This window comes from Homo sapiens, chromosome 17 (assembly GCF_000001405.40).
Source record: "Homo sapiens chromosome 17, GRCh38.p14 Primary Assembly".
Lineage (NCBI taxonomy): Eukaryota > Metazoa > Chordata > Mammalia > Primates > Hominidae > Homo > Homo sapiens.
Window position 1 is genome coordinate 16047956 of NC_000017.11, and position 23779 is coordinate 16071734.

Genomic DNA, 23779 nt, shown 5'->3' on the forward strand with positions numbered 1-23779 from the left:
CTCTCCAAAAATGGATTTTCTTCATTTCATTGAAAAGTAGCAATATCTGTTTAGCTCCCTAAGAATAAATGCAATAAATTAATAGCAACACTTTGTAAGAAAGGCACTAGCAATTTGGAGTTAGAAAGGCCTTCGTTTAAAACTGGCCCTTCCCCATTAGTATCAGTACGACCATGAGCAAGTGACATGTCTGGCTTTCAGCGCATCAGTGGAGGGTTCAGCACTAGGCAAACTGCACGACTATGGACAGAAAGGAATTCAGGGAACAATAAGCAACATGATTTGGACAGAGATTCCAGTGTAGGGATGATGCAGAGGGAAGTGAAGCTGAATGCGCAGCATACACCTGGTCATGCCAGGAACTCAGATGCCATGCAAAAGACTGGGTGCTGGATTCTGCATGAGTTTTAGACAAATCACTCAGGTGGAGGTATGGAGACTGACTGGAAAGGAGCCAACTCAAAGGCATCTAGTCAAATGGGGATAATTTAATAATTAATAGGGTTGGGGTCACGGTTAGAAATAGGTAAGATTAAATCTATTCAGAGTCCACAGTGCTTGGTATACAGTAAGCATTCAAATGTTGGCTGAATCAATGGATGACCCTTTCCCCTAGACAAAAACATTAAAAAAAAAATCTAGAAAGATTTAATTTCAAGAATAATGAACAAATATTTTCTAACCTATTTAAATATGATATTATAAATATTTTCTTTTTGCTAAAATACACTAGCATTAGATGAGTAGGAAAAGAGACAAATGATCCTCTAAGAATGCCATCCAGACATAAAAGCCCAAAGTTCTGAGAAAAACGGCAACAACTGAAGGAAATGTTAAAGCATGAGCACCCACGCCATGAATGGTTGCTGTCACTAGGAAGCACACTTACCTCTGCTCTGCAGGCTCTGCGCCCCTCTGAGACAAGAGCAGCAAGCTGTCCTGTTTCTCATGCACAACCGGAACCTGGGGTGGGGAGATGGGCTCGTAGGGCTCCGAAGAGACGTGACTCCTCTCTGGGGATTTTCCAGGCCTACTATTGTAATATGTGAAATATTAGATTGTGTTTCAAAGGCTAACCTGGGACTTACCTAAACAGAAACTTGTTAACTCATGACTTCATTCAGGAGAAGGAGCAAAAGCTGCCAATTTCTATCAGAAAAAAAGTTGCCTCAGGTATTCACTATATACATAGTTAAAACAAACAAACAACAACAAAAAAAACCACTGTGTTACTGCCACTTGACCCATGCGCGCCCCGTGGATCCAGGAGTCACGTCATCAGACAGTGCTGCCCGGGCAGCAGCAGTGGCAGAAGCTGCGTCCTTGAGGCTCCGCATGTCCTTCAACATCAGACACCATCTCACCCTTGGCTCCTTAGTCCAGGTGAAACCTCAAGGGTTTTCCTACCTATTTTGAGTCGACTGACCAGTTCTTTCATCGTCAAGTTAAAGATAAAGGACTTCAGTACTAAACTGACACCCAAGAAGTTTTATCAGGTGAGTCAACATAGGTTCTAGTTACACTATATTATGGCAGAGGGGTTCTCTGCAATTTTATATTTTTTCTCTGGATACCATTTGGTAAGAATAATATAAGATAGACACACTGTTTAGCTCCCACCCATTTATCATTTTTTTTTTTTTTGAGACAGAGTCTGGCTTTGTCACCCAGCCTGGAGTGCAGTGGTGTGATCAGCTCACTGCAACCTCTGCCTCCCAGGTTCAAGCAATTCTCCTGCCTCAGCCTCCCGAGCAGCTGGAATTGGAATTATAGGCATGCGCCACCATACCCCGGCTAATTTTTGTATTTTTAGTAGAGACGGGGTTTCACCATGTTGGCTAGGCCTCCTGACCTCAGGTGATCCACCTGCCTGGGCCTCCAAAAGTGCTAGGATTACAGGCCTGAGCTACCGCACCTGGCCCATTTATCTTATTATTAAAATTTTTATTTTTTAGAGACAGGGTCCCGCTCGTTGCCCAGGCAGGAGTACAGGAGTGCAATCATAGCTCACTGCAGCCTCAAACTCTTGGGCTCAAGTGGTCCTCTCACTTACATCTCCCGAGTAACTGGGATTACAGGCATGCGTCACCATGCCCAGCTAATATTTTTATTATATGTTTTATTATGTCTGGTGGCCCATTTTTAATTTTTTGTAGAGACAGGGGTCTCACTATGTTGCTGACCTCAAACTCCTGGGCTCAAGCAATCCTCCCACCTCAGCCTCCAAAAGTAATGGGAATTACAAGCACCTCGCCCCACCACACCCTCAATTTTTTTTTTTTTTTAAGACAGAGTCTTGCTCTGTCACCCAGGCTGGAGTGCAGTAGCACGATCTTGGCTCACTATAACCTCCACCTCCCAGGTTGAAAGGATTCTAGTGCCTCAGCCTCCTGAATAGCTGGGATTACAGGTAGCCACCACCACACTTGGCTGATTTTTGTAGTTTTATTAGAGACGGGGATTCACCATGTTGGCCAGAATGGTCTCAAACTCCTGACCTCAAGTGATCCACCTGCCTCAGCCTCCTGAAGTGCTGGGATTACAGGCGTGAGCCACCACACCCGGCCCTGCTAAAATTTTTTGACATAGCGATTATGCATATGAAAGCCACCTGTGACTTTCAACATCTGGAATTATGACTATTAGACTAAAGCAAAATTATAATATGATTTGTTATGGCCTTTCTCAATCAGCCCATCCAGTTGTTCAAGATAGCCACTTTTTTTTTAAGTTGTTTTGCTGTTTACCTCCAAAACTCTGTAAATAATCTTAAACATGTTTTTTTTATTTATAAAACTTGAAACAGTATCTGTTAACTCTCTTCCATGAAAGATGAAGAATTTGATTTGCCTTCTCTGTTGTTGCCCATTTTATTTTTATTTTTATTTTTATTTTTGAGACAGGGTCTCCCTCTGTCACCCAGGCTAGAGTGCAGTAGTACAATCACTGCTTACTGCAGCCTCAACTTCTGCGCTCACGTGATCCTCCCACCTCAGGCTCCCAAGTAGCTGGGACTACAGGTGCATGCCACCATGCCTGGGCGATTTTATTTTTTAGTTTTTTTGTGGAGATGGGGTCTCACTACATTGCCCAGGCTGGTCTTGAACCGCTGGCCTCAAGCGATCCTCTCGCCTTGGTCTCCCAAAGCACTGAAATTACAGGTGTCAGCCACTGTGCTGGCTTGCCTATTTTAATTTTGTCCATTTTGCCTTTACATAGCATACTTCAGCCTTTTATATTTTCTTTTTTAAAAATGAAGAAATTAGCACACATACCCTTACTTCTCCATCTCTTTCCTATGCAACCCTCACCTCCCAATATCTGTCAGCCATTTTTAAGATTTATTGCATCACATCCTTTTCTAGAACTACAGAGAAACTCCTCTGTGTTTTGCTTATAAAAATCACTCCATACAATTACATAGAAATTCAATAACCTGCTCCTGGAGTACATAATGAAATAAAGGCAGAAAGCAAGTTTTTTTAAACTAATGAGAACAAAGATACAACGTACCAGAATCTCTGGGACACAGCTAAGGCAGTGTTGACAGGGAAATTTATAGCACTAAATATCCACATCAAAAAGTTAGAAAGATCTCAAGTTAACAAGCTAACATCACAACCAAGAGCAAACAAATCCCAAAGCTAGCAGAAGACAAGAAATAACCAAAACTGCAGGGGGCGCGGTGGCTCACACCTGTAATCCCAGCACGTGGGGACGCTAAGGCAGGCGGATCACCGGAGGTCGGGAGTTTGAGACCAGTCTGACCAACGTGGAGAAACCCCGTCTCTACTAAAAAAATACAAAATTAGCTGGGGTGGTGGCACATGCCTGTAATCCCAGCTACTCGAGAGGCTGAGGCAGGAGAATTGCTTGAACCAGGAGGCAGACGTTGTGGTGAGCTGAGATCGCGCCATTGCATTCCAGCCTGAACAACAAGAGCGAAACTCCTTCTCAAAAAATAAATAAATAAATAAAATAAACAAAACGGAAGCTGAACTGAAGGAGATTCAGACACAAAAAAACACTCAAAAGATCAACAAATTCAGGATCTGGTTTTTGTTTTGTTTTGAGATGGAGTCTCGCTTTGTCGCCCAGGCTGGAGTGCGGTGGCGCGATCTTGGCTCACTGCAAGCTCCGCCTCCCGGGTTCACGCCATTCTCCTGCCTCAGCCTCCCGAGTAACTGGAACTACAGATAGATGCCGGCCACCACGCCTGGCTAATTTTTTGTATTTCTTTTTTTTTTTTTAGTAGAAATGGGGTTTCACTGTGTTAGCCAGGATGGTCTCGATCTCCTGACCTCGTGATCTGCCTGCCTCGGCCTCCCAAAGTGCTGGGATTAGAGGCATGAGCCACGGCACCCGGCCTCAGAATCTGGTTTTTAGAAAAAATTAATAAAACAGACTGCTAGCTAAGACTAATAGAGAAGATTCAAATAAACACAATCAGAAATGACAAGGAATATTACCACTGACCCCACAGAAACACAAACAATCATAAGAAAATATTATGAACACCTTTATGCATATAACCTAGGAAATCTAAAAGAAATGGATAAATTTCTGGTCACATACACCCTCCTAAAACTGAACCAGGAAAAAACTGATTCCCTGAACAGACCAATAACATGCTCTGAAATTGAGTCAGTAATAAATAGCCTACCACCCAAAAAAAGCCCATGACCAGACACATTCACTGCTGAATTCTACCAGATGTACAAAAAGAGCTGGCACCATTCCTACTGAAAATATTCCAAACATTAAGGAAGGACTCCTCCCTATCTCATTCTATGAGGCCAGCATCATCCTGATACCAAAACTTGGCAGAGACACAACAATAAAAAGAAAACTTCCGGCCAATATCCTTGATGAACATGAATGCAAAAATCCTCAACAAAATACTGGCAAACCAAACCCAGCAAAATATTAAAAAGCTTATCCACCACAATCAAGTAGATGTTATCCCTAGGATGCAAGGTTGGTTCAATATACACAAATATCAATAGATGCAGAAAAGGCTTTCAATAAAATTCAGTACCCTTTCATGTTAAAAACTCTCAGTAAACTAGATATTGAAGGAACATACCTCAACATAATAAAAGAGCCATATATGAAAACCCACAGCCAACATCATACTGAATGGGCAAAAGCTGGAAGCATTCCTCTTGAAAGCCAGCACACAACAAGGATGCCCTCTGTCACCACTTTTATTCAACATCCTATTGGAAGTCTTGACCAGGGTGATCAGGCAAGGGAACGAAAGAAAGGGCATCCAAATAGGAAGAAAGGAAATCAAACTATCTCTGTTTGCAGACATAATCCCATATCTAGAAAACTCCATAGTCTCAGCCCCAAAGGTCCTTAAGCTGATGAAACAACTTCAGCAAAGTCTCAGGATACATCAGTGTGCAAAAAATCACTAGCGTTCCTATACACCAATGAGAGCCAAGCCAAGAGCCAAATAAGGAATGCAATTCGATTCACAACTGCCACAAAAATAATAAAATACCTAGGAATACAGCTAACCAGGGAGGTGAAAGATCTCTACAAGGGGAACTACAAAACACTTCTCAAAGAGATAAAAGATGAAAAGATAAAAAATGAAAAAACATTCCATGCTCATGGATAGGAAGAATCAATATCATTAAAATGGCCGTACTGCCCAATGCAATTCACAAATTCAATGCTATTCCTATTAAACTACCGAAGACATTCTTCACAGAACTACAAAAAACTATTTTAAAATTAATATAGATCCAAAAAAGAGCCTGAATAGCCAAGGCAATACTAAGCAAAAAGAACAAAGCTGTAGGTGTCATACTACCTGACTTCAAACTATAATACAGGGCTACAGTAACCAAAACAGCATTGTATTGGTACAAAGATAAGACACACAGACCAATGGAACAGAACAGAGAACCCAGAAATAAGGCCTCACACCTACAACTGTCTGATCTTCGACAAACCTGACAAAAACAAGCAATGAGGAAAGAATTCCCTATCAATAAATGGTGCTGGGATAACTGGCTATCACATGCAGAAGACTGAAACTGGGCTTCTTCTTTATACCATATATATATAAAATTAACTCAAGATGGATTAAAGACTTAAATGTAAAAAAAAAAAAAAAAAAAAAAACTATAAAAACCTTGGAAGACAACCTAGGAAATACCTTTCAGGACATAGGCAGGGACAAAGATTTCATAACAAAGACACCAAAAGCAACTGGAACAAAAACAAAAATTGACAAGTGGGATCTAATTTAAAGAGCTTCTGCACAGAAAAGGAAACTGTCAACAGAGTGAACAGACAACCTACAGAATGGGAGAAAAATTTTGCAAACTATGCACCTGACAAAGGTCTAATATCCAGCATGTATAAAGAGCTTAAACAAATTTACAAGAAAAAAACAACTCCATTAAAGAGCGGGTAAAGCGAGTGTGGTGGCATGTGCCTGTAATCCCAGCTACTTGGGAAGCTGATGTGGGACAATCACCTGAGCCTGGGAGGGTTGAGGCTGCTGTGAGCCGAGACTGCGCCACTGAAATCCAGCCTGGGCAAACAGAATGAGATAAAAAAGAGAGTGGGCAAATGACATGAACAGACACTTTTCAAAAGAAGACATATATGCAGCCAAGAAGCATATGAAAAAAAAAGCTCAATATCACTGATCATTAGAGAAGTGCAAATCAAGCCAGGTGCAGTGGCTCATGCCTGTAATCCCACCACTTTGGGAAGCTGAGGTGGGTAGATCAGCTGAGGTCAGGAGTTCGAGACCAGCCTGGCCAACATAGTGAAAAACCCTGTCTCTACTAAAAATACAAAAATTAACCAGATATGGGGGCAGGAGCCTGTAATCCTAGCTACTTAGGAGGCTGAGGCAGGAGAATCACTTGAACCTGGGAGGTGGAGGTTACAGTGAGCTAAGATCACACCATTGCACTCTAGCCTGGGCAACAGGGCAAGACTCTGTTTTAACAACAACAAAAAAAGAGTAAGTGCCAATCAAAACCAAAATGAGACACCATCTCACACCAGTCAGAATGGCTATTAAAAAGTGAAAAAATAACAGATCCTGGCAAGACTGTGGAGAAAATGGAACACTTATACACTGTTGGTGGGAGTGTAAATTAGTTCAACCACTGTGGAAGACACTGTGGAAATTCCTCAAAGACCTAAATGCAGAACTACCACTCAACCCAACAATCCCATTACTGGGTATATACCCAAAGGAATATAAATCATTCTATTATAAAGACACATGCACATGTATGTTCACTGTAGCACTATTGACAACAGCAAAGACATGGAATCAACCCAAATGCCCATCAGTGATTGACTGGATAAAGACAATGTGGTACATATACACCATGGAATACTATGGAGCCATGAAAAAGAATGAGCTCCTGTCCTTTTCAGGGACATGGATGGAGCTGGAGGCCATTATCCTTAGCAAACTAACGCAAGAACAGAAAACCAAATACCACGTGTTCTCACTTATAAGCGGGAGCTAAATGGTGAGAACACACGGACACATGGAAGAGAACAACACACACTAGGGCCTATTGGAGGATGGAGGGTGGGAGGAGAAGGCTCAGGAAAAAATAACTAATGGGTACCAGGCTTAATACCTGGGTGACAAAATAATCTTTACAACAAACCCCCACGACTCAAGTTTACCTATATAATAAACCTGCACATGTACTCCTGAACTTAAAATGAAAGTTAAATAAATAACTAAAATGAAAATCAGTTGATGCTGTTTTCTAACACCACAGATTGTGCAAACATTTTCATCAGGAATGGACCATGACAATGCTATATAGTTTTCCATTTTTCTTTGATAATCACATTTCTTTTCTTTTTTTGGTTTTGTTTTGGCTGAAAGGGAATAAATGTGCTTTCATCTTATCCTTAAGGTTATCCAGCTGCGTCTAATGACTAAGTCCGAGATTTGCTTCAAAATTATCCAGTTTGGGGGTCGGGGCAAGCGGGGATGAAAATGAAACAAAACTCGTCATACACTGAGGATTACCAAAATTGGGTGATGGATACCTAGAGGTGTATTATACTTGTTCTCTCTACTTTTGTATGTATTTGAAAACTTCCACAATAATTTTTTTTTTTAAAGAAGACCATTTAGCTTCTTATTTATATTCTTCTATCTGCTCTTTGCTCACTTTGATGGGTTGGTAGGTAGGCTGGAGAATCACTTCTGCTACAAATTTCTCTTTTTCAGGCTCTGAGCCATGGCTTCCATTACTCTGGCTCATGTGTCCTCTATGTCTTCAGGTATTTGCCAGAATCTTTGATCTGCCCATATCTCAGTCTTGTTCTCAGCATTCTTTTTATCTTTTTTTTTTTTTTTTTTTTTTGAGACGGAGTCTCGCTCTGTCGCCCAGGCTGCAGTGCAATGGCATGATCTCGGGTTCAAGTGATTCTTCCGCCCAGGTTCAAGCGATTCTTCTGCCTCAGTGTCCTGAGTAGCTGGGATTACAGGCACCTGCCATCATGCCTGGCTAATTTTTTTTTTGTATTTTTGTAGAGACGGGGTTTCACCATGTTGGCCAGGTTGGTCTTGAGCTCCTGACTTCAGATGATGCACCCAGCTTGGCCTCCCAAAGTGCTGGGATTACAGGCGTGAGCCACCACGCCCGGCCTTCTCAGCATTCTTAAATTTATTTCCCTTTGTGCTTGTTAACTATAATTTAACATTTGCTAATATTTAGTCTACCACTTTGAAGCAAGAATCCTGTGTCCACTTTATTTTAACCAAACACAGAATATCAGGTAAGAAGATATGCTCTTTATCAGAGAGCCCTGGCATATAACATGTTTCCACTCATGATGCCACTATTGGCTTCCCTTTCCTTTATTTAAGGTCACCTTAAAATATATATGTGTGTGTGTGCATATATATATGTGTGTGTATCTATACATACATATATACATATATATATATATAAAATTATTCACTGACAGAAGTCTGAGGCCTAGAATAAAATATAAATGCAGAAGCAAGCAAACAAACAAACAAAAAATATATAAACTTTTTTTTTGTAGAGATGAGATCTCACTATGTTGCCCAGGCTGGTCTCAAATTCCTGGGCTCAAGCAATCCTCCTACCTCAGCCTCCCAAAGTGCTAGCATTACAGGTATAAGCCACTATGTCTGGCCAATATCACCTTCTTAAACTTCTACTGATGCTGACCCAGTAGAAACCATTGAGACAGATAAATATGAGAGGTATTATTCGGAAGCACCACTGAAGTGTCCCCAAACCACTACCAAACTACACATTCTTCTTAACTGTCTTTACAAACCAACAAATAGAATATAATCATCTTTTGAATATACATTAAAAAGTCATAGTACCAAATGCCAAGACAGTGGACATTCTAAGAATAATATGCAGGGGGAAGAAAGCTCATTTACACTTTCCTGGGAATAAAGGCAAATGAACTTTAGTTGTGAGAAACAAATTCCTTATCCTGTAGATATATTCCATTTGTTTTACTGTTGGGCAATTTATATATAATTTGGAATAAAGATCATACCTTCCCCTGGATTTGTCCACAAGATTTTCTGGAGAGACCCTTGAACCTGGTCTTTGATGATGGACAGACTGAGCCTGGGATTCTGGGCTGTAACGGTTTGATGTTTTAGTCCTCACAGGTGTAGATACCAAAGCAGAAGGTGAGTTCTGGAATGTAGAAGTAGGAGGCTGCTGGGGAGTCTGCGAGGAAACTTGATTTCTAGCAAAATCTTGTGTGATAATTTGCTGTGAATGAGAAATGAAGGAAGTGGTAAAATTCATTGAGTACTTGCAAAAAAAAAATAGTATTAAGAAATCTAGATATCTTTATTATAAATTTCTTTTTCTATATGAAATCTGCTTTCCCCATGATCAAAAAAGAAAAATTAACTAATAAGAATAATGAAAAACTTACACAGATGTGATCAGCAAGTGTGATCAGCCGATGGGTCCTGGGCACTTGCCCCATTCCCTCTGCCTGTGAAGAAGGGGGCAGCTGTTGTTGGGGAGATGGTGATTCCTGCTGTGGTCGATAGTGATGTAATGGTCCTTCATATTGTCTGGTAGGATCATCTAGGAGAGAACACATAGATGTCTTACTCCAGGAATGTCTGTGCTTTTCACTCATTATCAAAGATTAAATATAATTCAGAAGAACACCTGAAAGGATGTGGTACATAGCTCCAAACAAAGAACTTATCTTAATTTTGGAGAAAAAAAAAATTATTCACTGAAGAAGTCTGAGGACTAGTGGAACAAAATATAAATGCAGAAGTAAGCAAACAAAATTAATATAAACAATTTTCTGTATCATTAAAAAATAAAAAAGAATCGATTGCTGTTTCTAAAGAAGGCTCATGTAAGATTACCCTAAAACAAACAAAACAAGTTAATTCTTACTATGGTCTAGACAGATAATTAGAAGCAAATGATAAATGCAAATATGAAAACATGTAAATGGTAGCTTAAGAAGACATACTTTCCGCTTGATTTGCCTTAACAACCTCTGGCTGATAGGTCTGCAGTTTCTCCTGGGGTGGCGCAGGTGAGCTGGCAGGACTTATCACCTCAATAGCATCGCTAGGTGTTTCATACCTGTGAGAAGATACTTTAAGAAAAGAAAATCTTATTTCAAAACTAATCCCAGGAAAAGTTTCTGAAGTCTAAGTTCTTCACACCTGTAGCATTTTTTCAATTCTGATCCACCATGTTCAAAGGTATTCCAGGTTAATGAGGGTTTTCTGAAGTTTTATGGGCTTTAAGACATGTTTTAGGCTGGGTGCAGTGGCTCATGGCTGTAATCCCAGCACTTTGGAAGGCCGAGGCAGGTGGATCACCTGAGGTCAGGGGTTTGAGACCAGCCTGACCAACGTGGAGAAACCCTGTCTCTACTAAAAAAAATACAAAATTAGTAGGGCGTGGTAGCTCATGCCTGTAATCCCAGCTACTCGGGAGGCTGAGGCCGGAGAATCGCTTGAACCCGGGAGGCGGAGGTTGTGGTGAGCTGAGATTGTGTCATTGCACTCCATTCTGGGCAACAAGAGCGAAACTCCGTCTCAAAAAAAAAAAAAAAAAAAAAAAAAAAGACATGTTTTAAAGCCCAATAATAAACACTGGAATGAGGCAGAACAGAGAACAGATTTATGATATTTTCCTGGGAGCTGGAAAAGAAATCACCAGGGAAACATTTATGGAAGAGGTTAATAAACAAATGAGGGAGTAGATCTCAATAACTGATTCCAATGATTCCAATTCTGTGGGACACTCTGTTCTTAGAAAAACGCTGAGGCTATAAAGCTGCTTCATTCACCACCATGATGATTTTAAAGCTATGGATTATATAACACTATATAATGATTTTCTCAAATAAATGGAGTATTGCTAACAAAACTTACTCCAAACATTAATAATTTTTTAGCACTGTGTTACATTGTGAAAATAACCAGAAATGGTAGAGAATGTCTGAAGGGAAGTATATTCCCAGAAAGGGAGGATGTCAACCAACTCTGGAGGATACCCACATCAGAAAAGGACCTCCTCTAAGACACAGTTCCCAAGTAAACAGAGGGCTATGCAGTGGGGCTAACAGGCAGCTTTTCACAGTCCTGCCATAGCCTCAGAGCTGACAGTTGGGAGCAGATGTAACCGCCTGCTCAGGAACCTCTGAATTCAGAGGGCTCTTCACATCCACAAACTGCACTACAGAATCTGAGAGCACTGTCAGAGCTCCAAAGGGTGCATGGCCCTGGGCTGGACACAGATGCAGCAGGTGGGAATGAACTCTGCTCCCTAGCCACCACCTGCTCCTCTGGTACTCAACAGTCCTTCCTATCCCCACCAGGTCATGGAAACTGCAGCTACCTGGGTTCTAGTACACTTAGGAGATTGGAAACTTGATAAATGGAACAGAAATGATCATTGAGAAACTAAAATAAATCACTATATTCTAAGAAGTTTACAGTAATTTGTGACTTTTGTATCCACTGTTACTCATCACTGTTTATGTATTCAACATCCTAAATCTGGTTACAACTTCCAATATTCACTCAGTAGAAAGTCGGAATCCAAACCGTGTTCACATTGTTCTTGAAGCCTTAAGGGGCAAGACTATGGCAATGGACCTCCCCTTCAGGATGAGGAAGGTTCTCAAGAGTCAAACTGAAAACCACACTGAAGAACTGTACATAGCCTTTGGACATCATGGAATTCACTGACCAGTGATAAAAAAGATAACCACACACAGAGACATGGACACTCAGAAAAGATGAGCTTTCTATTTTCACACCTTCTGAAAATCAAATTCCTAAAGCAAGGTTTGGTTTGTGATGCAAACTGAAAAGAAATGTTTAATCCAATGATTAAGGAACCCATGTGCTATACCATTCAATAAGCCCAGGTGGGATCTCCCAGTGTGCCGGTGACTTCCCTTCAAAAGACCTATTCATACAACTATAGAATATCTCTTTCTCAGCTAGCAATTTTCTGCATGCAGAAAATCTATATTGCAGATTTTCCTAATCTCAGGTTAAAAGAAGTCTTTTGTCTACACAACACTAACTCTCTCTCTAAAAGCCTCAGCAATGCGGTAGATATGACGTAAACAAATTATAATTAAGCTAGTGGATACTCAGAGATCAAAAGAACTGCACATTGCATTCTGGAGCATGAGAAATCATTTTTTTTTTCATGATGTCTAACTCTACTGAATTTATTCAATGGAGATAACAGAAAGATGATTATATATGATTAAATTACTTCCAGTATTAGCAGATGCTTATTTAAATACTTGCTTGTTCTTTCTGCAATTCCACATAGAATTAAGGCAATAGTTTAAAAGAAAATTTAAAAAGTAACTTTTCTAGCATTTTAATGTAGACCTGTGAATTCTAACACATTTGCAGTGTAGCCATCCTAATGACTAACCAGACTTGAACAAAATCCAACTTGCAAAAACGATGCAATATAAATACCAATCACCAATAATAGGTAGTCTCACTTTTAAAAACCTGTGTCTTAGAAAAAGGATATTAGAGGCTTTGGGGTATTGGCATAAATATAGAACCATGTCCTAGCAAATGCTTCCTGAGAAATTACACCTCAGTAGCCCAGAGCCTGGCGATATATCCATTACCTTTCAGATGCCTAAATATGTTAATAAGGTCTGCCTTCTACTTTCCAAATTTAATTACATGAATGATACAGTTTTCTTGTGGAAGATACATTGATAGGCTTATATGTAGGAAACTGGGATATTTAAATAATCATAAAAACAGCAGAAGATACATTTTTGCATTACATTTACTATCAACCGTTAGGATTTTTAAATACCATATAGTTCTACTTGACCTAAAGAATAAAGTAATTCTTTACTCAGACATCACATTGTGAAACTCGGATTGAGATACATACAGCTACTAGAAGAGTCTGAACTTTGAGAGCCACGTTCCCTCGCATCCTTGTCCGAGGCAATTTGCCGGGTGATGATCACGTCTATGAAGTTAGCTGCAGTAATGGTAGTCTTCCCTCTGGTCCTTAGCTCTTCCTCATATCTGGATTTTGGAGGAGGCCCTTTATCTTTCCCAGCCTCAGAATAAACTACTGAAGAATGAGGCTGGGGCTTGCCACTTGGAAAGGCTGAAGAAGTGTATAAACACTGAACAGATCTCTTCTCCACCTCCAGGGTTTTCTGCTCTAGCTGCTGCTGTTCACTAACTGCTGCTGACCTGCTTCTCAAATTTTCTTCTAACCTGGCAGCTTCATGCTTACTCTCTTTTGTTTTGGACACATCCATCTGGGGTGCAGAAGCTGCAGCATCCACAAGAGCAGCCAGGGCATCCGCAGCAGTGTTGTAACGGGAGGCTGGCAGGCCTTGGCTTATTGAAGGGCCCCCAGCAGGCAGTGGCCTGTAAATAAAACCAAATCACAGCTCTGTGAAGGGAAGACCATTTGCTGGGAATGTGGTGGGGAGATGGAAGGACAAACTGCAACAACAACAAAAAAAGCCTTCATGGCATGGGCAGAAAAGCATGACTATACTTAGACTATTGCAGTCACAAATTTTAAAATGTATATGCAAGAGACATTTTTTGTCAAAATATGTACAAGAGACTGACATGATTCGTAGCTGAGCAGTTGGATCCAAAGGTGTGATTACACTGGTTCCATTGGTTCCTTGGAAAACACTGGGTCTCTGTTGCAACATGGTCTCCTGAGTTCTTACTGAAGGGGAAGGGGAGCGAACATATCCATGACTGCCAGGTCGGCCAGGCTGTTCTGAGCCTGCAGAGGTGAAAAAGAGAAAGAAACAAAGACATAAGGAGGAAGCCAGAGACAAAAGGAAGCAATGCTTATGGATTGTTTATTTCCTAACATACCTAAATAGAAAAAAGAAAAACAAGATAAGAAACTTGATAGTCTACTTTCTGGCCTTTCCAGAAATATGTTCTAAAAGTGTCCAAATAAAGATGCAATAAAACCGCAGCAGTAACTTGAAACAAAACATCAGCCATCATTTACTGTCATTTCCATTTCTCTGATAAATTTCAATCTTGATTCCATAAATAAAACAGCACCAACAAGAAGTACTACTACAAATCATATAAGTTCATCTTTCTGATTTTTCCTCAAACTCTAGTGTGTATATGATTTCCAAAATCTAATCAGGCACAACTTTCTAAGCATCATAATGAAAATAATATACCACTGCTACACTAGGGTTTGAGACTGTTTCATTCAACCACAGTTTGCCCTGCTTCACTTCTTCACTGTCCCCTTCACAGGTGACTCTTTCTCTCAGCAAGCTCTCTCTTTTGAAATGAAATCATTCACATTATCTTCCCACAAAACACTTGGCTCCCACAATTACACTTCTACAATATTTGGTATGTTTTTGTTCACTTAACCCTAACTCTCCCATAACCAAGTCAGAGCTTGGACTTGGTAAGAACTACTTCACGCAGAGGATTCTGAACTCTCAAATCCCTCCCCAGTCACTTTCTTCTTGACCTCATCTTGTTCTGTGTCCTCACTCCAACCTTCTAACGTGCTCACTGGCTTCATAACAGCTAGCTGTTTTATGTTTTAGCACACACCCCTCTTCTCACAGACACCACCACCTCAGCCAGGCTTCTCAGCAGTTTTCTCCCTTCTAACCATTCATCAGCTTATATGAATATTTATTTTTTTAATTAAATTAAAAAATTTTTAAGAGACAGCATCACACTCTGTCACCCAGGATGGAGTGCAGTGACACTCCATAGCTCACTGCAGCCTCAAACTCCTGGCTTCAAGGGATCATCCTACTTCATCCTCCTGAGTAGCTAGGACTACAGGTGCACACCACGGCTGCTGGCTAATTTTTTATATATATATTTTAGAGACAGGGTCTCACCATGTTGCTGAGGCTGGTCTTGAATTCCTGGCCTCAAGCAATCCTCCTGCCTTGGCCTCCTGAGTAGCTGGGATTATAGGCATGAGCCACCATGCCCAGCTTATCTGAGTATTTCTATGGGATATATTCCTAGACGTGGAATTACTAGACAAAAGAGTATTTAAAATTTTTATCTCCACAGAGGCTACATCCGGGACCAGCCATACCCACTCTTCAGGGTTTTAATCCATCTATTCCACTCGTGTAAATGTCCCTCTGATCATGTCACCTGCCTCCTGGACACAACATTTCACTGTAATTCAAGATGCTACACAAGCTGCTAACTGTATTTTCCATTCCTCCTCTAAACTCAAGCTCAACAACACCTTTATATCTAGGAGTTTTTGCTAGGGCTGTTCTTTCAGCCTTGAAAGCTCTGTGACCAATATCTTCAGGCCCAACTGCAGTCCACTGTTTGCACCAAATAAAAATGATACCTTCATCATGAAAACATTTTTCCGTGTAAAATTCACGTTTCCACCATCTCAGCTGCTACAGCACTTTCACCTGTTTTTCACTTGGGGCCTGTAATAACGTTGTCTTAGAATTTTTGTTTCCATCAAAACTTTTTGTGCGCAGCATTAAGCACAGTGTACAAGATTACTAAGATGTGTCCAGAGAATGGAAGAGCAGTGCCTTTCACTGACCTGGCCGCAGGTAGAGGTCGGAGGAAGCTGCAGCAATCCGTTCCCGCTCCCGCTCCTTCTCCCGCTCCCGTTCCCGTTCCCTCTCAGCACTTGCAGCAGCTGCAAGGTGTGTTGGGTGTCCTGTAAAACATAAACCTGCAGCTTAAAGATAAAAATATCAACTGACTGAGTATATCAAACAATTCCGAAATTCTAAGTGACTGAAAATTTTTCAAAAAGCTTCAAATTTGGGATATAAGAAGTTTGTTTTGGCTGGGTGCAGTGGCTGACACCTGTAATCCCAGCACTTCGGGAGGCCAAGGCAGGTGGATCACCGGAGGCCAGGAGTTTACGACCAGCCTGGGCAACATAGTGAGACCCTGTCTCTACTAAAAACACACAAAAAATTAGCCAGGTGTGGTGGCGCGCACCTGTAATCCCAGCTACTCCAGAGGCTGAGGCACGAGAATCTCTTGAACCTGGGAGATGGAGGTTGCAGTGAGCTGAGATCACACCACTGCGCTCCAGCCTGGGCAACAGAGCCAGACTCTGTCTCCAAAACAAAAACAAAAAAAAAACAAGAAAAGAGAAAAAGAAGTTTGTTTTATTAAGAGTCCTGGATAAGAACTGAAGCATAACATAAGCTTTTAAGGCATTCCTAAGGTATCTAGTGACAGCTGGCACATAAGAACTACTATTAAATGTTAAAAGAAAAACAAGAAACCAAATGAGGAAAAATTGCCCAAGATACCTTAAAAGGCTATGTTGTAAAAATGTAAACATGATGGTTCTATTAGAGAGGTGTGTAACTGTACAATCTCACCTGGAGACATGGAAGCAGAGTTGTACGGCCTGGGAGGGAAAGTAATCTGTGTACCAGGAATATAAGTGATTCTGTCCATGGGAGGAGTGCTTGTTCCCCCTGGATGAGGCACTAAAATTGTTGGAGGCATATTGGTCAGGTCAATGATTCCTATCCAAAAGACAATACAATTTATGTTAAGTGTTATTCTAAAGGTACAGAACCATACATGACTTTGGATTTTGTCTATCTCTGTGAATCAAGGGTAATTTGTACATAATATAAATAAAAATGTTTACTATCATCATTACTTTTTAAGACATTCTTTAAAGAAGGATATTAAAGACTGTACTTCACATCAGTAACCTCAAAGTATGGGCAGATTAAAGAGAGCAAATTTGTAAGCCATGGATTACAAATACTCAGCACAAGGATTTGGTTTAGTTAATTTCAGTATTCACCAAAACACCTTGTCTCAATGTATGTCTCTGGGCTAAAAAGTCTACGGGAGGAAGGATATAGTATTCTTTTCTTTCTTTCTTTCCATCATTCATTCAACAAGTATTTACTGAGTACCTAAGAAACACTAGGTAAACATAATAAATTCTACGAAATCTGAAATGCAAAGACACACACCTCTCGTTGCTGGGTATGGGAGACCCAGTGGCTGCTCTCTTGGGGAGAGTCCTCTGGCCACATCTGGACGCAAGTTCACTTGCATCTGTTGTGAGGTAATGTAATCATTTAAGATTGTCTGTCTTGTGTTCTCCATTGCGTAAAGCTGATACTGACTTGGGTAACCTGGAGTTGGTGAAAGCTGTCTCTGAAACAGGTAAGCAGCCGCTGCTGATTGAGAGAATGAAAGAAAGGCACTGAGTTTTGTCCTGGCTGAAATACATTTGCTAAACACCACGTACAAAAGAGTAGAGAAAAATCACATGCTGAGCTAGTGCACATGGAACTTTTACTTAGCTACAAGGATTAAGGTGGATTTATTTTAGACCTTGATGTATTAGCAATAGCAATTCTAATGTCTAAGATGTAATGGAAAAGGGGAAGGATAACAGTAGCTAAAAACTTCTCAAGTAGTTTTACTTTCAATCTTTGACATGTAACTTTATCATATTTTTACCTGGCATCTGCAAGAGTTGTGTTTGAAAATAAAATTGTCTTTATAGTACTGATCATCCAGTACAACCAACAGAAATGTATACGAAAATACTTTGTGGCAATCAGTAACTTTACTCTCCAGGGGGTGAAAATGATTATAGACTATAAGCATTTAATTAGTCCATGTGTTTGGAGCAGAGATTGGCAAACTTTTGACATAAAGGGCCAAATGGTAAATATATTTTAGGCTTTGTGGGCCATTTCGCATTTGTCACAGCTACTCAACTCTGTCACTGTAGCACAAAAAGAGCTACGGAAAAAAAGAATAAATGGTGTGGCTGTATCCTAATAAAACTTTATTTACAAACACAAGTGGCAACAGGATTTGGCCAAAAAGCTGTAGTTTTTAGCAACCCCTAGGTGAGAGAATGACACAAGACACAAGATACGAGGAAGGGGTAGGCGTGGTAAAAAGTAGATAATGTCTCTCTCCTCAAAACATTATAATCCAACTCAGGCTCAAAAACAAGCAAAAGAAACCACTACAAAATGAAGACAATGATAAACACTAAATAGAAACCAGAAAAATTCCATTTTGTCTGAGAACTTGAGTGACCTATTTTATATGTATATGTTCTCCCTAGAAAAACAAGTAACATGTTTTCTGGAATATTTGCTTCCCCTTCATCTAGAAGCTAGGTAAGTCTGTCAGCTGACACAATCTGGGAGACAGTGCCCTAAGTAATAGGTATTGGGCTCCTCTGAAACAGTGTTGTCAAATGACAAATAATTTGATGGCATTTACACAGCTTTTAGATAAAATATTTCCCACAGTTACTTTCCTATTATTATGAAATGTAAATAACCCTTAGAATTCTTACTTTTAAAATTTAGCATACTGATAATGAAAAATTCTTCTCTAAGGACCAAAGTGAGGCACAAGTATTCTGTGTCCTAATTTGCACCTGAAGGATACTTATTAAGCAAAGAGTTTATTTAGGCCAGAGAAGAGGTCTCAGCAGAAAACACATGTGTGACTGGGCTCAGCCAATAGCGGCAAGGAAGAGCAAGGACTGCACCCTGGGAGGACAAGGTGCAGCCGGTGGTCCTGCAGATTATAACAGCCCAGCCAAGCCTCTCTGTACCAACCGATGTGACTGCTCCTCTCCCCTCCCTGTGTAAAACACAATGCCCTCTGCCCAGCAGACTGCTCTCTAGAAACCTGCACATCTGCACCTATCAGATTCTGTCTACCAATGTCAGTGGTGTTCTGAAGTTTCTTCCAGCTGTACTTGTTACTAGAATTATGTAACTTAATGACATAATTTGTAAATCAAGGAAGAATGAAGAGTGGTTTCTCTGAAAACTAACAGCTTTGGAAAGAGTTGATACAGAAGTTGAATCAGGTGCGGACTAGACAACTTCAAAGGCTGGAAAAAAAATCTAGAAGGATTCTGTATTTAGATTGCTTGGAAGTGTCTTTACTTGGAAGTTCTAGCTTTACTTAAAAAAAAGAATTTCTTTTATATAAGACAGTGAGACTTAATCACTTGTTTATGAAAAAGCCTTGGCATTAGATCAGAGTTCTGGTAAATGAACGTCTATTTATGCTGTAAGTTAACATGTTTAGGTATGCCTCTGTCATTTTAAAATAATTATTCACATTAATCCACTTTTTCAACTAGTTTCACCAAGTGCCATCAGATAAGAGAGCTTTTCATATACTATTCTTTTTAGTTCTTTACCGGGTGCTGATAAGATTTTATTTCTTGATCTGGGTGCTGGTAACATGGGAGAATTTAGTTTGTGAAAATTCACTGAGCTGTACATTAATGATATTTGCAATTGTACTATATTGTACAACAACAGAAAGCTGAAAAGTCATACTGGTGGCATATTTATTTGCCATAAATTATCACTATATTTTGTGTTTACCAGGATCCAAAGCCCTGTGAAAAGGCATGGCTGGATCCAAGTGCGTGGGCAGGTGGCTCCGATAAACCTCGCCTGCAGTGCTGCCTCTGTGATGGGGATCAAACGGACTGTGGCTCACGACAGGGTCCACCCCAGGCACTGGAGACTTCGCTGGGATACTTTCCCTCTGGGTAGGGGTCAGTGTCGATTTCCTTTCATGATTGGTAGACTTGTTAGAAGAAATTGTAACTGGAAAAAAAGAGCCAATGCCACAAGTTCTTAAGAAACTTGCAAGTATGATAATATTTGTCCATTTCTCAACCATTCAAATAAAGACTATATTCATGTATTTGGATCTTCTCTTTCCACTCAACATTTAACATTCAATATTGCAAAATATGAAAATGTAAACAACATATGAAAATGTAAACAACTAGTAGAAACTGAGATTTGGAGAGTACTGTCACCTTTTGGATCATAGCACCAGTATTTTACCACCTTATGTAACATTAAAAATAAAATTCAATACTCTTCTTTAAATCTCATTATGAATCATTTTGTTTTTTGTATGACTTTAACATTCTAAATTCTTTTGTCCCCACATGTAGTAAACTTCAGTTTTCTCTCATTGCCTGTGTTATGCAACCTCCTTCCTACCCATTAATCACTAGTTTCACTAATTTTTTCCTTGCTCTGTTCTTCCACAATGACTTTCTCATTACTTCACCAATATCTATCACCTCCCTACTCCAGCCTCTCTTCTCTTAAATGATGTTATTCAGGATGGTCAGATTGTCCCACCAATAAATATATATTCAAACACTTATTAGCCATCATCCTCAATTTTTTTTTTTTTTTTTTGAGATAGAGTCTCGCTGTCACCCAGGCTGGAGTGCAGTGGCGTGATCTTGGCTCACTGCAGTCTCTACCTCCTGGGTTCAAGCGATTCTCCTGTCTCAGCCTCCCAAGTAGCTGGGACTACAGGAGCGCGCCACCATGCACGGCTAATTGTTTTTGTATTTTTAGTAGAGACAGGATTTCACCATGTTGGCCAGGATGGGCTCAATCTCCTGACCTCATGATCCGCCCGCCTTGGCCTCCCAAAGTGCTGGGATTATGGGTATGAGCTGCTGCACCCAGCCACCCTCAATTTTTTTTAACTGTGGTGAAATATACATAACATAAAATTTACAATTTTAGCCATTTTAAAGGGTACAATTCACAGTGGCATTAAGTACAAGCATGATGGCTGTGTAACCATCACATCTAATTACTAATATTTTGATACTATAAACTTTACCACAATCAAACAAATCTGCCTGCCCAAAGAAAGAAATCACACTGGTTTATCACATCCCCTTCCAAGTCCCAGCGTGCTCAAATATGGAGTGCCCTTCCCTCTGCAGGGCAATTCGCCATCAAAACTAAAGCTACAAGCATTTGGACTCACCTCCCCATCCCTAACAAGGACTTCCCCTTCTCCTCACTCTGTGCTACGCCCCTCACACCCGCCAAAACACACTTGTACAGCTCACAGTGCCCAGCCCAGGACGTACCATGTGAGCCATCAATAAATTTGTATTATAATAAAAAATGGTAAGTGGATGCATTTTTAAGGGCCTCAGGTTGATAGGGACCACTTGGTAAAAATCACTTCTCAACTGATGTAGCTGCCAGTAGCATGGGGTTATAGTGACAACAATAATAACAACAGTAACACCAACAGGAATAATTCACATTTATCGAGCCCTTCGTAAATACTCGGCACCATTCTAAGTTCTTTACATGTACTACCTTATTTGATCTTCATAACAATCCAGAGAGGTAGGTCTTAATGTTACATTATGATTTTACAGATCAGGAAACTAAGCTACAAAAAAACTAAGTAACTCATCTGAGTTGATGCAGTAAGAATGTTAATTCAAGCTTATGCAGTCTTGTTCCAGAGGCTACTTACAGCTTTCACACCACACTGCCGCTGAAGGAACAATGTCAAAACTGACTTCCAGAAAACCTTATGCAATTGGCTGAAAATCCACTCTAAAAATATACTTACTCTATAGCATTTCTGGACTGCATCATAATCTGCACTTGATTTAAATATCAGGTATTTTACTTAAATTATGCCTACTTTTAAATTAGTAGCCTTCCATACTCCTAGACTCAAGCAAGACCTGTAGATCTTGGGATACTCTAAAGCTGACAATTTGATATTTACTACTTGACAAAGGTTTTTTTTTTTTTTTTTAAATGCAATAAAAAGTATCAGACCAAGCAACAAAAGTAACATACCATCAGAAGTTCTGTTCATCATGGGTGAGCCTCTGGACATGGTGTTTTGATAACTCACAGGGGTCCTCCGTGCACTGGTGTCATCATAAATCCCAGGGCTCAGTTGTGCTTTGGGAGCTTCATGCAGTGTGGACCTAAGAACGGAGGGGCCAGAGCTTACCACTGACGTGTGCCGGGAACGCACGGTCTCGCCTGCTTTCACATCCTCATATTTTCCCCGTTCTACCACTTTTATGTTCTCTGGCACAATTTCCAGCGGAGGCATTCCACGGGATAGTTTGCTAGGCCCCGTGATTAAGGATTTGACATTGTGTTTGATGGCAGATTGACCTGAGTTGTTGTCAAACTTTATTGGTGTGCCCTAAAGGGAAAGAAACAAACATTACAGGTAGCAAAGTCATCTGGCTACTTTTCTATCTCAGGTCTATGTCTGGCCCATGGCAGTTACAGTTCACTGTGGTGATCTTTTTTGGTCTGTTTACAAATCTCAATCACAACCCCACTGATCCCAAGCTGCATACTTTCCCACATTCCACACTCTATGCTATAGACATAAGAAAACCTGATGATAAGAAGTACACAAGGCCAGGCATGGTGGTTCACACCTGTAATCCCAGCGCTTTGGGAGGCTGAGGTGGGCAGATCACCTGAGGTCAGGAGTTCGAAACCAGCCTGACCAACATGGAGAAACCCTGTCTCTCCTAAAAATACAAAATTAGCCAGGCGTGGTGGCAGGTACCTGTAATCTCAGCTACTCGGGAGGCTGGGGCAGGAGAATCGCTTGAACCCAGGAGGCGGACGTTGCAGTGAGCCAAGATCGTGCCATTACACAAAGGCCAAGCACAGTGGCTCACGCCTGTGATCCCAGCACTTTGGGATGCTGAGATGGGCAGATCACTTGAGCTCAGGAGTTCGAGACCAGCCTTGGCAACATGGCAAAGCCCTGTCTCTATAAAAATACAAAAATTCTGGGTGTGGAGGTACATGCCTGTAGTCCTAGCTACTCGGGAGGCTGAGGTGGGAGGATCGCTTGAGCCCAGGAGGTCAAGGCTATATAGTGAGCTGTGATCACACACCGCACTCCAGCCTGGTCCACAGAGGAAAAAAAAAAAAGGTACAGGAAACTTTCATGTTTACTTCCAGGAGGTCTGACATCATAAGAACCACTTATAATTATTAAGTCACACTTTTTTAAATGTTCCATAAATATCAGTTACTGACAAAAAGAGCCAAAACTTAGTTACCTGGGAAATGGAACCCTCAATTATCGGCCGTGTGCTCTGGACCACTTCTGGAGTTTTCCGACTTTCCTGAGTTAAAATATCTTGCCTTGGAATCTCATGAATGGAACGCCCCATTTCTTTGATGGTGGTGATGCCATCATATGGTTTTCCTTTGGTAATGGCACCTTCAAATGCTCGTATGGGAGGACTTTCCCTTTTAATTTGTTTGGGATATTTAAGGCCATCTTCAAAGCTTTCAGTTGTTGCTCTTGGTGTCCCTTGAAAAAGAATTCAGGAAACATTAAAATAATGCTGATGGTTGCACAACAATGCCACGGAACTGTGCA

At 40.6% G+C, this 23779-nt stretch overlaps 1 protein-coding gene across 52 annotated transcripts in view; it reads right to left on the reverse strand.

The window, feature by feature from the left end:
• The window catches only part of NCOR1 (nuclear receptor corepressor 1), a 186378-nt gene that overhangs the window by 18799 nt on the left and 143800 nt on the right, over positions 1–23779 (reverse strand). For 29 of the 52 annotated variants that reach the window (NM_006311.4, NM_001439115.1, NM_001439111.1 and 26 more), the window contains 12 exons: positions 23454–23710; positions 22210–22570; positions 19939–20166; positions 17530–17739; positions 16915–17064; positions 16113–16232; positions 14150–14315; positions 13446–13939; positions 10516–10644; positions 9952–10109; positions 9559–9782; positions 890–1033 (listed from right to left, as the gene is read on the reverse strand). In NM_006311.4, coding sequence (NP_006302.2) covers positions 890–1033; positions 9559–9782; positions 9952–10109; positions 10516–10644; positions 13446–13939; positions 14150–14315; positions 16113–16232; positions 16915–17064; positions 17530–17739; positions 19939–20166; positions 22210–22570; positions 23454–23710 — 2641 coding nt within the window. The remainder of the gene's footprint in view (positions 1–889; positions 1034–9558; positions 9783–9951; positions 10110–10515; positions 10645–13445; positions 13940–14149; positions 14316–16112; positions 16233–16914; positions 17065–17529; positions 17740–19938; positions 20167–22209; positions 22571–23453; positions 23711–23779) is intronic. The other 23 variants (XM_011524086.4, XM_047437142.1, XM_017025420.3 and 20 more) reach the window with 6 other exon arrangements.